The sequence below is a fragment of the Homo sapiens genome, chromosome 17 (genome assembly GCF_000001405.40).
Source record: "Homo sapiens chromosome 17, GRCh38.p14 Primary Assembly".
Lineage (NCBI taxonomy): Eukaryota > Metazoa > Chordata > Mammalia > Primates > Hominidae > Homo > Homo sapiens.
In genome coordinates this window covers 65,839,699-65,853,322 of record NC_000017.11, presented here as the reverse complement: position 1 = coordinate 65,853,322, position 13,624 = coordinate 65,839,699, and the positions used below count along the sequence as shown (strand labels likewise).

Sequence of the window (13,624 nt, the reverse complement as noted above, 5' to 3'; positions counted from 1 at the left end):
AGAACAAATCCATCTGAAGACAAAGGCACTGATTGGAATGATGCATTTACACACCAAGGCACAGTGACTGTCAGGAAATACCAGAAGCTAGGAGACAGGCATGGAACAGCTTCTCCTTCAGAGTTTCCAGAAGGAACCAACTCTGCCAACACCTTGATTTTAAGACTTCTAGCCTCCAGAACTATGAGAGAATAAAATTCTGTTCTTTTAAGCCATCTAGTTTGTGCTACTTTGTTATGGCAACCCTGGGAAACTAATATGTCCCATATGCTTGGGAATTAAGAAACATACTTCTAAATGGTTCATAAGTCAAAGACAAAAATTATAATGGAAGTTAAAAAAGTATTTTGAACTAAACGATAATGAAAATACCACATATCTAAACCAAAGAGATGGAACTAAATCAGTATCCAGAGAGACATTTGTAGTCTTACATTTATAAATCAGAAAAGAAGAAATGATAAAAAATAAATGAGTTAAGTATCCAAAATAAGAAGTTAGAAGAAAGAATACAAAATAAACCTTAGGAAAGTAGGAAGAAGGACATAAAAATAAAAGCAGAAATCAATCAATAAAAAGTAAAAATCCAATAGGGAACACTGGATGAATTTCAGGAACATGATGATGTTGAATATTTGAAACAGCAAGTTTCAGAAAAATACATGTAATATTCCATTTACATAGAAATTAGAAACAAGTAAAACTAAACAATATGTTGTTTAAAGATCCAAAAGTATGGTAAAATGTTCCAGGTGGTATTTGCCTCTGAGCTAGGAAGGAATGACATGGGAATATGGAATGAAGGAAGTAGAGGAGGGAGGGAGGGAGGGAATGAGGGAGGGAAGGAAGGAAGGAAGGAAAGGGAGGGAGGGAGGGAAGGAAGGAAAGGGAGGGAAGGAAGGAAGGGAGGGAGGGAGGGAGAGGGAAGGGAGGGAGGGAAGGAAGGAAGGGAAGGGAGGAGGGGAGGGGAAGGGAAGGAGGGAGGGAGGGAAGGAAAGGGAAGGAAAGGGAAGGGAAGGGAAGGGAAGGGAGGAGGGGAAGGGAAGGAGGGAGGGAGGGAAGGAAAGGGAACGGAAGGAAGGAAGGAAGGGAGAGGGAAAGAGGGAGGGAAGGAAGGAAGGGAGAGGGAAAGAGGGAGGGAAGGAAGGAAAGAAGGAAGGATGGAGTGCAATCTAAGCTTTCTATTCCATATGTTCATATTTCATTTATTGGCCTTTTGCCCATTGGTTCTTCTTTTGTGACTTCCCTATTGATATCTTCTGCCCATTTTTCCATTTTTAAAAACAAGGTTATTGCCGACATGGAGGCCCAGGTTCACAAGTTGAGAGAAGAATTGATCAATGTGAACTCACAGCGGAAACAGCAGCTGGTAGAGCTTGGTCTTCTTCGTGAAGAGGAAAAGCAAAGGGCTACAAGGGAACATGAGATTGTCGTCAATAAACTGAAGGCTGAATCAGAAAAGATGAAAATAGAGCTGAAAAAGACTCATGCTGCTGAGACAGAGATGACACTGGAAAAGGTAAGATATTTAACTAGTTTTTTAATAGGCAGTTGAAATCCATGTTTAAAATCCATTGCCACCACCCTTATATTTAATCTCCAAAAGGTAGTAGACATGGCATTACTCTTTAAATGTATAAACTCTTCAGTCGAGGAATTTAAGTATCTTGCTCCTATGTCTAAGTACCAGTAAAATAATCTAGGGAATTTCCTAACTTTTCCCTTGGCTTTCATGGAAGGGATTATATGGAATATCCTATTCCATAGTAATTAAATACACGTTGTAATAAAGTGATATTATAATATTGTCCAATATTATTTTGATTAGAAATACTGGGGCTGTATCCCTAAATTTTCCTAAATGGGACTAAGTTTCAGATCTTCCCTCAGTTGTCTAATAAGCATTTCTAGATTTTACAGCTTTTTATAACAGTGTCACATAAATGATGACTTATTTTCCCAGGTTGATATTTCAGTCGAGATAAGAAAAGTCTTTTTAGAAGTATATATTATTGGAATAAATGTCAATATAATGTTTACACATTTTGATTGGACTTATATTAAAGGTGCAATCTCAAATATTCTTTCTTTTGACGTTCAGAAAAAGTATAACTATTTTAGTCAGGTACTAAATGTGAATTGCTGTTTCCAAAATTGCCTCTTGAGTTTCTTAAGACCAGTCTTTATCTTGGGAATGAGAAACTTGCAAAGGGTAACTTAAGAATCATCTAAATTTTGTTTAATTTCTTTCCACCTATCCCTCTTCATCTTCAAATAATGTTGAGCTTTTAAAGAGTATGCAATACCATACTAGCCATTACTACATTGATTTTACATAGACTGAGATCCTAAGGTACTTGCTTTATTGTACTTTAATTAATTTGAAAGTCAGATTTCAGCAGATTTGGCCCTTGATAGCATAGCTATGAACCCAGAAATAAATAGGAAAAAGGACTGTAAATAGGCAGGAGTGAGCCTGACTTCTTGGCAGAACAGCAGGGAAAGTGGTGTGTCTGGAAATGATGAGTGAGAAGAAGAGGGAAAGTGATGAGGCCAGAGAAGAAACCTCAGGGTGTGGGTCCAGGTCACGTAGGTCTGAGTAGGCCAGTGAGAGGGCTTTGCTTTGACTCTCTATGAGTAGAGGAAGTTGGCAGATTTTGAGCATAGGAGTGACATGATTTGACTCACACTTGAATAGGATGTCATCATCTGCTGTGCTGAGAATAGACTGAATTGATGGCAAAGGAGGAAGTAGAGAGAACAGTTAAAACGCTGTTGCAAAAATATAGAGGAAAGGTAATAGAGAGCTGGGTCTAGCCAATAGCAATGAAGGTAGTAAAACCTGATCAGATTTGGGATATGTTCTGAAGGTAGACCTGACAGCATTCACTGTTGGTTCGTGGAATATGCTGGGGGGTGGGAAGTAGGGTGGAACAGTCACGGGCAGCACCAAGGCTATTTTCCCAAGCCAGTGGACAGATGGAATTCCTCTTTGCCGAAAGGAAGAAGACTACAAGACCAATAGGTTGGGCCTCTCGGGACATGTTCAGGCTAAGTGGGATGTTAGTGATAATTCCCTCACAGCAGGATAAAATAATAATGTCTCGATGCTAAAATATACAGTTCAGGAATTAGGGAAATATTCTTTTTTTTTTTTTTTTTTTTTTTTGAGACAGAGTCTCACTCTGTCGCCCAGGCTGGAGTGCAGTGGCATGATCTCGGCTCACTGCAACTTCCGGCACCTGGGTTCAAGCAACTCTCCTGCCTCAGCCTCCTGAGTAGCTGGGATTATAGGCACCCGCCAGCACGTCTGGCTAATTTTTGTATTTTTAGTAGAGATGGGGTTTTACCATGTTGGCCAGGATGGTCTCAAACTCCTGACTTCGGACAATCCACCCAACTCGACCTCCCAAAGTACTGGGATTACAGGCGTAAGCCACCGCGCCAGGCCAGGAAATATTCTTATATGGTATAGTCTCAGACTTTGACAATAGCAGATAAAAGAGAGACTGATGGAAAGGGAAAGTGGTGTTGCCACTTATCTTTTCTGTTAACTCTTACACTCACTTCACCTTGGCTTCAGTCAACTCTTCTAGCAGTTCAAAGTATTTCTAAGTAAATGTTCTTAAATAGCACAGATACCTGTGCACCTTGATTTAAGAAAATTGGATATGCCAAAGTCAGACATATAACACATCCAATTTAGGCCGTAATTTTCCTGCATTATATATTCACATTCCAAATGCCTCTTTTTAATAGGAGATGAACTTCGTGAAATGTAGGTTTATACGTGATGCTAATTTACAGGGTAAAGATAATTTAAAAATTAGTATTAGAAACCTGAATTTTTATATTCCAGAAAGGCATTATCCCAGGCACTGTGGGTATATAAAAAACAGGGGAGGGGGCCACTGCCCTCAAATAGAAAAATAATAGTGACTGCAAGAAAAATACTGCAAGTACACTACACAGATAACTATAATGCAAGACAGTGTGAATTTGGGGAAAATCATTTTCTGCTGAGGAAATCGGGAAAATTAATTGGGAGAGATGTTACTTGAATGAGACATAAGTAACATAAGTAGGATTTTAATTAGTAGATATGTTGGATGGCATTCTAAGTCAAAAGAATAAGGAAAGCAAGAGCAAACAAAACCGTTTCCATGACATAGAGGTTGATCCAGGGGAGAGCTAGCAACCAAGCTAAGATAGCTTCAGGATCATCGAAAGTCTCCAAAGCTGTGATAAGCATTTTTGCTTCATTGGGTAAACAGTGAGGAGTTGCCAAAGGTTTTGGGGAAATGAAGTGTCAAGATTCCAGTGATTCTTAGGAACATCATCCTCTTGGTGTTGGCAAGATGTGGTAGCAGCAGCAGGAGGTAACAAGGACTGGATTAATCCAGGCAGGAGGTCCTTGAGGGCACAGCAGATGTGCGTGAGAAGGCAGTGAGAGTGTCGGCAGTAGCAAGGGGACAAAGAGGACATTTGAAAATCATCATAGAGATAGCACTGATTAGGTTGGTTAAATATAAATCGATCAGGAATGTAGAAGTTTCTGGTCGGAGGAGGAGGAAGCTGAACTGAGTTAAGAACATGTGGAGTTTGAAGTGACACTACACTTTCCCTTGCTGTTGAAAGAATGCTTCTGGATATCCCAAGAGCAGGCAGGATTGGAGACAAACAGCTGTGGGAATCACCCACAGAGAAGGCCTGGCCAGTGGCCTTGAGAGTGAGTGGGACTGTTAAAGCAAGGGGGAAAGAGGCAGGGAGGGAGGGAGAGAGAGGGCAACTGTGAAGGAAGAACTTAGGGGTACAGCTCCATTTGAGAGGCCAGGGAGGAAACAGTTGAAGAAGGGTCACGAAGGTAGAAGGAACATGAGAAGAATGCATTTTTATGGAAATAGAGGAAAAGACTATTTGGAAAGGGGGATTGTCAAGAATGTGACCCAAACTCAGGAAGGATGAGGGTTGAAGAAAGGTCACTGGATGTGAAACCACAAAGTCATTGATGATCTTGGACAGTGCGCTGAAAATGATTGTGTGCCCAGAAACAGGGTTTCAAAAGATAAGTCTGGAAGTGGAAGTGAGGGAACATCCTGTTGTTTGGGAAAATACGATGTTAAAAGAAAGATGTAGTTCCAAAGAGCAGCAGGAGTTAAAGAGAATATATTTTGGGGCTGAACATGGGTTGAGCATTTTGAAGTACACAAAGGGACTAATGGAGAGGAACAGCTTAATGACGTGAAGAATCAGAGATCATTGATGGCTTGTGATCTGTGAGGTGGTGCAGGTGGGAATGGCATCCCCAGCACAGACGCAGCACAGGCCTACCTCAGCCCTCGGCTACAAGGCTGCAAGGGTCCATTGGTCTTTTCCCAGAATGTGCCACACTCTCCCCTGCCTCCAGGTCTTTGCAGCTGCTGTCACCCTCTTCCAGAATGCTTCTCCACATGATTTTTTCAATGGCCAACCTCCTTGACATCATTCTACACTCCTCAGAGCATCCTTCCCCGACCTTTTCATCCAAAGTCTGGCCTACCTATGCCACCTTTTTTTGTCCCATTGTCTTCATAGCTCATAGCATTACCTGAAATCATCCTTTTATTTGTTCGCTTGTTTCCTCCCACCCACTAGAACATAAGCTCTGTTAGCAGGACCTTGTCTAGCTTGTTTACTTCTGTACCACCAGTGCCTAGAAAACCCAGCTCGGGGCAGGTGCCCTCCGGGTATGACATGAATGAGTGACAGGAGGCATGACCTTCACCAATGGAGGAAGGAAGTCAAGCATTGGTAAAGATATAGAGAAGCTCTCTGACAAGACTTGAAAAGACCTTGTAGCTAATAGCATCTGTATTCTTAGTAAAGAATCAGAGTAGTCTGCTTAGGTGAGGAGTTTCAAAAAAAGCGAAACAGGCTTCCAGCTGAACAGTGGAATGCCTTGGAAAGGAAGAAGATATAAGGGAATTTGTTCCTATAGAATTGGAGTTCTGCAGGTAGAGGAGGGAGCATGGGTATCCTGCATCTGGAAGAATGGAATGCTCCTGGATTGAAGTGAGAACACAAGGGATCCCAGAATTTAGAAGGGAGGTTTGAGGACAGTTCTTTTAGCTGACATGGGTAGAGGTACTGAGATGAACCAGAATGGAGGGACTTGTTGACAAAAAGGGAGAGTCTGGGGAAAGGGAAGACTCTCTTTTACATAGGCTGGTGTTGAGTGCGATGAGTTCGGTTTTTGTCCAGTTGGTGGAATTCACCAACCTCAGAGTCCATATGATGATATCTAAATGCTGTGCTCACATCGAGTAATTTGTATTTCCAATGATTGATATTTTTACATAAATAGTCAAAGGAGTTTAGCATTTTCAAATGCAGTAAAGACCTGGACTCCGAATTCCCTGAAAGCAGGAAATATTTGTTTCTAATGCCCCAGGAGCTTGCATGGTGCCTTACACACAGTAAGCACTCATTAAATATTAAGTGAGTGAATAAAAGAATGATAATCGAGGCGGGCGAATCACAAGGTCAGGAGATCGAGACCATCCTGGCTAACACGGTGAAACCCCGTCTCTACTAAAAAATACAAAAAATTAGCCAGGTGTGGTGGCGGGCGCCTGTAGTCCCAGCTACTCGGGAAGCTGAGGCAAGAGAATGGCGTGAACCCGGGAGGCGGAGCTTGTAGTGAGCCGAGATTGCGCCACTGTGCTTCAGCCTAGGCAACAGAGCGAGACTCCGTCTCAAAACAAAACAAAACAAAACAAAACAAAAAGAATGATAATCTACTGAGAAATTCAAGATAGCCTCTGTGCCTGGTCATGTGAATAAACTGTTATTGATTTATCCACATTTGATCTCAAATCATTATAAATACTTTGGGTAGGATATGATACATCTTTGTATTCAAATATTTATATGTTCTTTTAGTGTTTTGATTTCCTTCATATCACTTAATAAGTTAAAAACATAGCATTAATCTTTATTGAGACATACTTTGAATTTTTCTACACAAATTTTTTAAAATTTGAGTTTTTACTGTGAGTTTGAATAAAACTAACAAGCTGCTGATTCTTTTGTGAGTCTGTTATGTCATTCTGCCAGTTGCTTGAACTCTTCTCACAGTATCTTTTTAAGTTGGATGTTTTTATCGTATTTAAATAAATCTGAAATTTAAAATATTTGCCAGCAGTTTAAAACCCAGTCAAGAATTCAGAGGTTTAGAAGTTCATTTTCTATCATTGAGTATAAAGTTGAGGTTCAAAGAGGAAAGGACAATAATACCAGAATAATAAATAATCTCAGTGTGACATTCTATATGGGTCTGTGTTGTTTCAGTAGCACTTACGATGTTAAGGTTATAAAAGAATTCCTAAGTCCACATCCTACCTGAGTTTCTGTCAGCAGCAATTTAGACCCAAATGATATCTTCAATGATTTTGAGTTAAGAGAAACATGAAATACCTCCACAAGGTCAAAATGCTTCAAATAAAGAATCCAAGAGAGTAAATGATTGACATTTTGCAAAGTGAAAGCTTCTTTTGTGGCCTTTTAAAATCTTTTCAAACCTAATTGAAACAAAGTCCATAAAATATGAACTTTTGAAAAATTAAAGAACATTACTAAGTGATGATAGTGTGTAATTTTCAGAAGTTTGATTAAACTTTGGTATCTAAATTGGACAATGGTTTTAGAAACCTATTCAGCTATTTTAAAAATAACCTTCCTTGAAATAGAAGATATTTTAGAAAATAGGGAAAGTGGAGAAAGGTGTAAAATTCCCTGTTCCTACCACCACTCAGATATAATAGTAATAATTTAATGTATATGTAAAATAGCCATACTAACTTAGCTGCCCAAGATCAAACTAATTAATTTGATCTCTTGCTTTTTAAAGCATTATACTAAGAATATTCCAATGTCATTTGAAATTCTTTGAAAATATTGTTTTCATTGTTTCATGATATCCTGTTTTATGGGTATAACAAATTTTGTTTTGTTTTGTTTTTTTTGAGATGGAGTTTTGCTCTTGTTGCCCAGACTGGAGTGCAATGGTACAATCTCGACTCACCACAACCTCCACCTCCCAGATTCAAGTGATTCTCCTGCCTCAGCCTCCCAAGTATCTGGGATTACAGGCATTGTGCCACCATGCCTGGCTAATTTTATATTTTAGTACAGACGCAGTTTCTCCATGTTGGTCAGGCTGGTCTTGAACTCCTGACCTCAAGTGATCCACTCGCCTTGGCCTCCCAAAGTGCTGGGAGGACAGGCGTGAGCCACCTCATCCGGCCTTTGATATAACATAATTTTTTTTTTTGAGACAGAGTCTTGTTCTGTCGCCAGGCTGAAGTGCAGTGGCACAATCTCGGCTCACTGCAACCTCTGCCTCCCAGGTTCAAGCGATTCCCCTCCTCAGCCTCCCTAGTAGCTGGGACTAGAGATGGGCGCCACCATGCCCGGCTAATTTTTTGTATTTTAGTAGAGACGGGGTTTCATCATGTTGACCAGGATGGTCTTGATCTCCTGACCTCGTGATCCGCCCACCTCGACCTCCCAAAGTGCTGTGATTACAGGCGTGAGCCACCACGCCCAGCCAGATGTAATTAATTGTGTTATTTCTTTATTTTAGAACATTTAGGTTTTTTTTTTTTTGAGATAGAGTCTTCCTTTGTAGCCCAGGATGGAGCCTGATCTCGGCTCACTGCAACCTCTGGCTTGCGGGTTCAAGCGATTCTCCCGCCTCATACTCCTGAGTAGCTGGGACTACAGGCATGCGCCACCACATCCAGCTAATTTTTGTATCTTTAGTAGGGACAAGGTTTCACCATGTTGACCAGGCTGGTCTTGAACTCCTGACCTCAGGTGATCCGCCCACCTTGACTCCTAAAGTGCTGTGATTATAGGCATGAGCCACTGCACCCAGCCAAACTTTTAGATTTTATTTTAATTGTTTAATGTGGAGATTGGCATCATCATACATAAACTTTTGTTGACATTTTCAATTTCAATTTTTTTAGGTTAAAATCCTAGTAGAATTAACAGGTCAAATTGCATTTCAGAAAGTTTATACTAATGTATATTTACTTCAGTAGAGTATCTACTTAGTCTGTAGATTTATTAGTAGTTTTACCTAATTTGTAGTACATGTTTGTGAAAAACAGTTGTTTTAATTTGTATATTTAAGTGTGAGAGATTGAACATTTACAATGGATTTACCTGTTATTTATTTATATTTCATTTTCGGGAAATTGCCTGTTCATGTCTTTTTCCAGTTTTTCTTCCTTTAGGGTCCTAATGTTTTTCTCATCAGCTCATCTAATAAACTCCTTTTATATTTAGAATGATAAAACCCTTATCTTTGTGGCAAATATCTTTGGCATTTGCCTTTTATGATTTAATTTTATGATACACAAACATTTTATTTAAATTTCGTCTAATCTGTTCATCTTTTCCTTTGTAAATTCTCCACTATAAATAGTTGTTTTCAGCTTCATGTTTTGATATTTATAAATATACCAACACATCAAACGTTTTCTACAATGTGCTCTACTCAGTAAAAGGCTCTTAGCATTTTGACATAGCATTTACCAGCTTGGGTTCCTGGTCTGTAATTTTAAGTGGTGTCTGAAGGATTATACTGGAATTCTGCCAGCCTGAAATCATGAAAAGGCTTTGAGCAACAATTCAGCATCTTTTTCAAATTTAAGAAAAGCTCCATATGGCATAATTATTCAAAGTTAAGGTCATAGAAACTACTTAAACCTTTAAAATTTATAATTAAAGGATTAATATTAACTTATGAAGACATTGTCATTTTGGCTTAAGATGGATTTCCAACCTCACTTTTGTTCTTTTTACTTTTATCTTTTCCATGACTTTTTCCTTTGCTAAAAAACGTGAAGTTTTATATCCTTAAACTTTAAATTAAATGTTATCCTCAGGTTAGAATTATAAAATTGATTGGCCAACAATATCCCGTATATTTTTTATTATGTTCCACAAATATTGGTGAACCTAAAGTTGTCATTTTCCTCTGGATATATAAGCTATAGCCTGGTGTAATAGATAATGGCACCTGTAAATATAACAATAATTTAATTTACCAGGTAAAAACATACACAAATAACTTGGAAAACTTAGGATGTGTACATAATTTGAATGCGATGAATTGGTGTTCATTTATATGAAGGTTTATATTAATGTGCTTTTGAATGACCTAAATTGTAAAGCTTTCTTGACTATGACAGGGGTTATAATCTTGTCTTATACAAAAACTAACACTTTTTATAGGATAATTTTTTTATTTCAACTTTTTAGATTCGGGGGTACATGTGCAGGTTTGTTACATGGGTATAGTGTGTGATGCTGAGGTTTGGAGTACTATTGTAGGATAAGTATTTAAAGAAATAAAAAATTAAAAAGCCAAAAAAAACCTTAAAAAATAATTATTGGCATAATTAAAAAGAAAAACTAAGACTTTTGTTGTTACTTTGACAAAATACACAAATCAAACCAAATCAAATATTTTAAATGTATTTATGTATCTCCTATGTAACAAGAAGAAATTGATGTTCCTTAGACCCTTTTTTACATGAGCCCCAGCTCTCCTACTTTATCTGGTTTGTATGTGAGGCACTCGTATCACAGTGAGTCCACTAAACAAGTATTAGAATAATATCTGGAGCATCTGTTTATTAACAAAATAAGCAGGGGTACCTATCATCATTAATGCTTGAGTATTTACATGTTCAAAGGTCTATCATCCTTACCTGAGAGGGACTACAAAGCTCAATGTCAGTGTGGAGTCATGGATGTAGATGGAAATAGACTGCTCCCTTCTCAATGGCTTTCACAGTTTCCCGAATAATCTTTTCCTCTTTCTCCCTCTGCCTTCTGCTGCACATTAAAGAGCACTTTATTTTCTGGCAATCCAGGAGAGCAAGTCAATAGCTTAACTTCAAAGTCTAGTTGTCTGAAGCTAGAAAACTATGTTTTACTTGGAGAAAATTAAAAGAGAGTATATTTTATGTTAAGGTTATTTGAAAATAAAACCTAGAATTATAAATGAATTAGTTTAGTTTTAAAGTAGGCATTTAAAAATTACAAGATTAATCCTCCTTTGTCCTTCTGTAGCCTAATTTTTAGTATTCTAATAGAACCATTAAAAATTGGAGTTCTGTATTCCTCAGAGGTTATTGATTTTGTCTTTTTGGATGCCCTGTGATGAAAAAAATTCTATTTAGAATAAATGAAAATGCCTTAGATCAATACAGCAAAAGACAGTGACTCGACTTGGGAAGTTATTGAAAGTAGAAGACCTTATTTGCTATCATCAAAGTTTTATATTTAAATGGAGAGAAGTGGAAGTGAGTAAAATAAGCAGATATTTGTGCCCTAAGTCTCGTGTGTGTGTGTGTGTGTATGTGTGTACACACACACACAGTTTAGGTCTGGGGGGACTTTTTTGGTTTGTTTTTTGTTGTATGTGTGTTTGTTTATGATTAGTGCTGATAATTATGCAAACTTTTAAAAAATTTATGTTGATATGTAAGAATTGTACATATTTATCAGATGTATGTGAGATTTTTATACATTCTTGCAAAGTGTTGTGATCAAATCAGAAAAATTAGGATATCTAACACCTCAAACATTTATCTTTTCTTTCTGTTAAGGAGATTTCAAATCTTTTTTTCTAGCTATTTTGAAATATACAATAAATTATTAACTATAGTCACCCCACTGTGCTGTCAAATACTAGAACTTCTTCCTTACGTTTAACTGTATTTTTGTATTCATTAACCAACCTCTCTTTATGTCTTCTCCTCTTTACCCTTCCCAGCCTCTGGTAACTGTCATTCTACTCTCACCTGCATGAGATCCACTTTTTTAGCTCCCACATATGAATGAAAACATGCAATATTTGTCTTTCTGTGCCTGGCTTAATTCACTTAACATAATGACATCTAATTCTATCCATGTTGCTGAAAATGACAGAATTTCATTCTTTTTATAGCTGAGTCATACTCTGTTGTGTATATATCGCACATTTTCTTTCTCCACCCCTTTGCTGATGTACATTTATGTTGTTTCCATATCTTTGCTATGGTGAATAATGCTCCAATAAACATGGGAGTGCAGATCTCTCTTTGGTATACTAATTTCCTTTCTTTTGGATATATATTCAGCAGTGGAATTGCTGGGTTATATGCTAGATTATTTTTAGTTTTTTGAGGAACCTTTATACTGTTTTCTATAGTGACTATACTAATTTGCATTCTCACTAACAATGTATTAGTGTTCACCTTTCTCTGCATCCTCATAAGCATTTGTTTTTTGTCTTTTTGATAATAGCAGTTTTAAGTGGATGAGATATCCTCTCATTATTGCTTTGGTTTGCATTTCTCTGATGATTAGTGATATGGAGCATTTTTTTCACATGCCCTGTTGGCAATTTGTATGTGTTCTTTGGAAAAATGTCTGTTCAGATCATTTGCCAATTTTTAAATTGGATTATTTGTTTTTTTGCTGTTGAGTTCCTTATAAATTCTGGTTATTAATCTGTTGTCAGATGGATAGTTTGCCAATATGTTCTCTCATTTCTTTTTACTCTTGATTGTTTTCTTTGCTTGCAGAAAGTCAATACTAATGTATATTTACTTCAATATTTTTCAAGATTTTTATCTTGATATAATCCCATTTTTCTGCTTTTGCTTTGGTTGCTTGTGCTTTTGAAGTCTTACCAAAAAAAATCTTTGCCTAGACCAATATCTTCTTCAAGTAGTTTCATACTCTCAGGTCTTACATTTAAGTCTTCAATCCATGTTGATTCAATTTTTGTATATGGTGAGAGATAGGGTCCTGGTTTCATTCTTCTAAATATGGGTATCCAGTTTTGCCAGTACTGTTTATTGAAGGGACTGTCCTTTCTCCAAGGTATGTTCTTGGCACCTTTGTCAAAAATGAGTTAGCTGTAAAGGTGTGGTGGGTTCTCTATTCTGTTCCATTGGTCAGTGTGTATATTTCTCTGCCAGTACCATGCTGTTTTGGTTATGATAGCTTTGCAGTATATTTTGAAGCCTGATGGTGCAATTCCTCTAGCTTTATAACTTTTGCACAAGATCACTTTGGCTATTTGGGGTCTTCTGTGGTTCCATACAAATTTTAGAATTGTTTTTTATATTTCTCTGAAGAATCTCATTGGTGTTTTGATACAGATTGCAATCAACCCGTAGATTGTTATGGGTAGTGTGGGCATTTTATCATTGTTAATTCTTCCAATCCATGAGCATGGAGTATCTTTCCATTTTTGTGTTCTCTTTAATTTCTTTGATCAGTGTTTTAAGTTTTCAGTGTAGAAACTTTTACTACTTTTGGTTAAATTTATTCCTAGATTTTTTTTATCGCTGCTGTAAATAGGATTGCTTTCTTGATTTTTTTTCATGATTGTTCACTGTTGGTGTATAGAATTGCTACAGATTTTTGCATGTTGATTTTATGTCCTGCAACCTTACTGAATTTGTTTACTGGTTCTAACATTATTTTGGTGGAGTCTTTAGGTTTTTCTTAATATATGATCATGTTGTCTGTGAATAAGGATAATTTGACTTCTTCCTTTCTAATTTGGATGCCC

The 13,624-nt window shown here is 37.5% G+C and overlaps 1 protein-coding gene across 21 annotated transcripts in view; it reads left to right on the top strand.

Annotated features, from left to right (window-relative positions):
- The window catches only part of CEP112 (centrosomal protein 112), a 556,597-nt gene that overhangs the window by 338,811 nt on the left and 204,162 nt on the right, over positions 1-13,624 (top strand). For all 21 annotated transcript variants that reach the window (XR_007065281.1, XR_007065280.1, XR_007065282.1 and 18 more), the window contains one exon: positions 1,289-1,519. Coding sequence is in view for 18 of the 21 variants with exons in the window: in NM_001353128.2 (NP_001340057.1) it covers positions 1,289-1,519 (231 nt within the window). In the remaining 3 variants the exon portion in view is untranslated. The remainder of the gene's footprint in view (positions 1-1,288; positions 1,520-13,624) is intronic.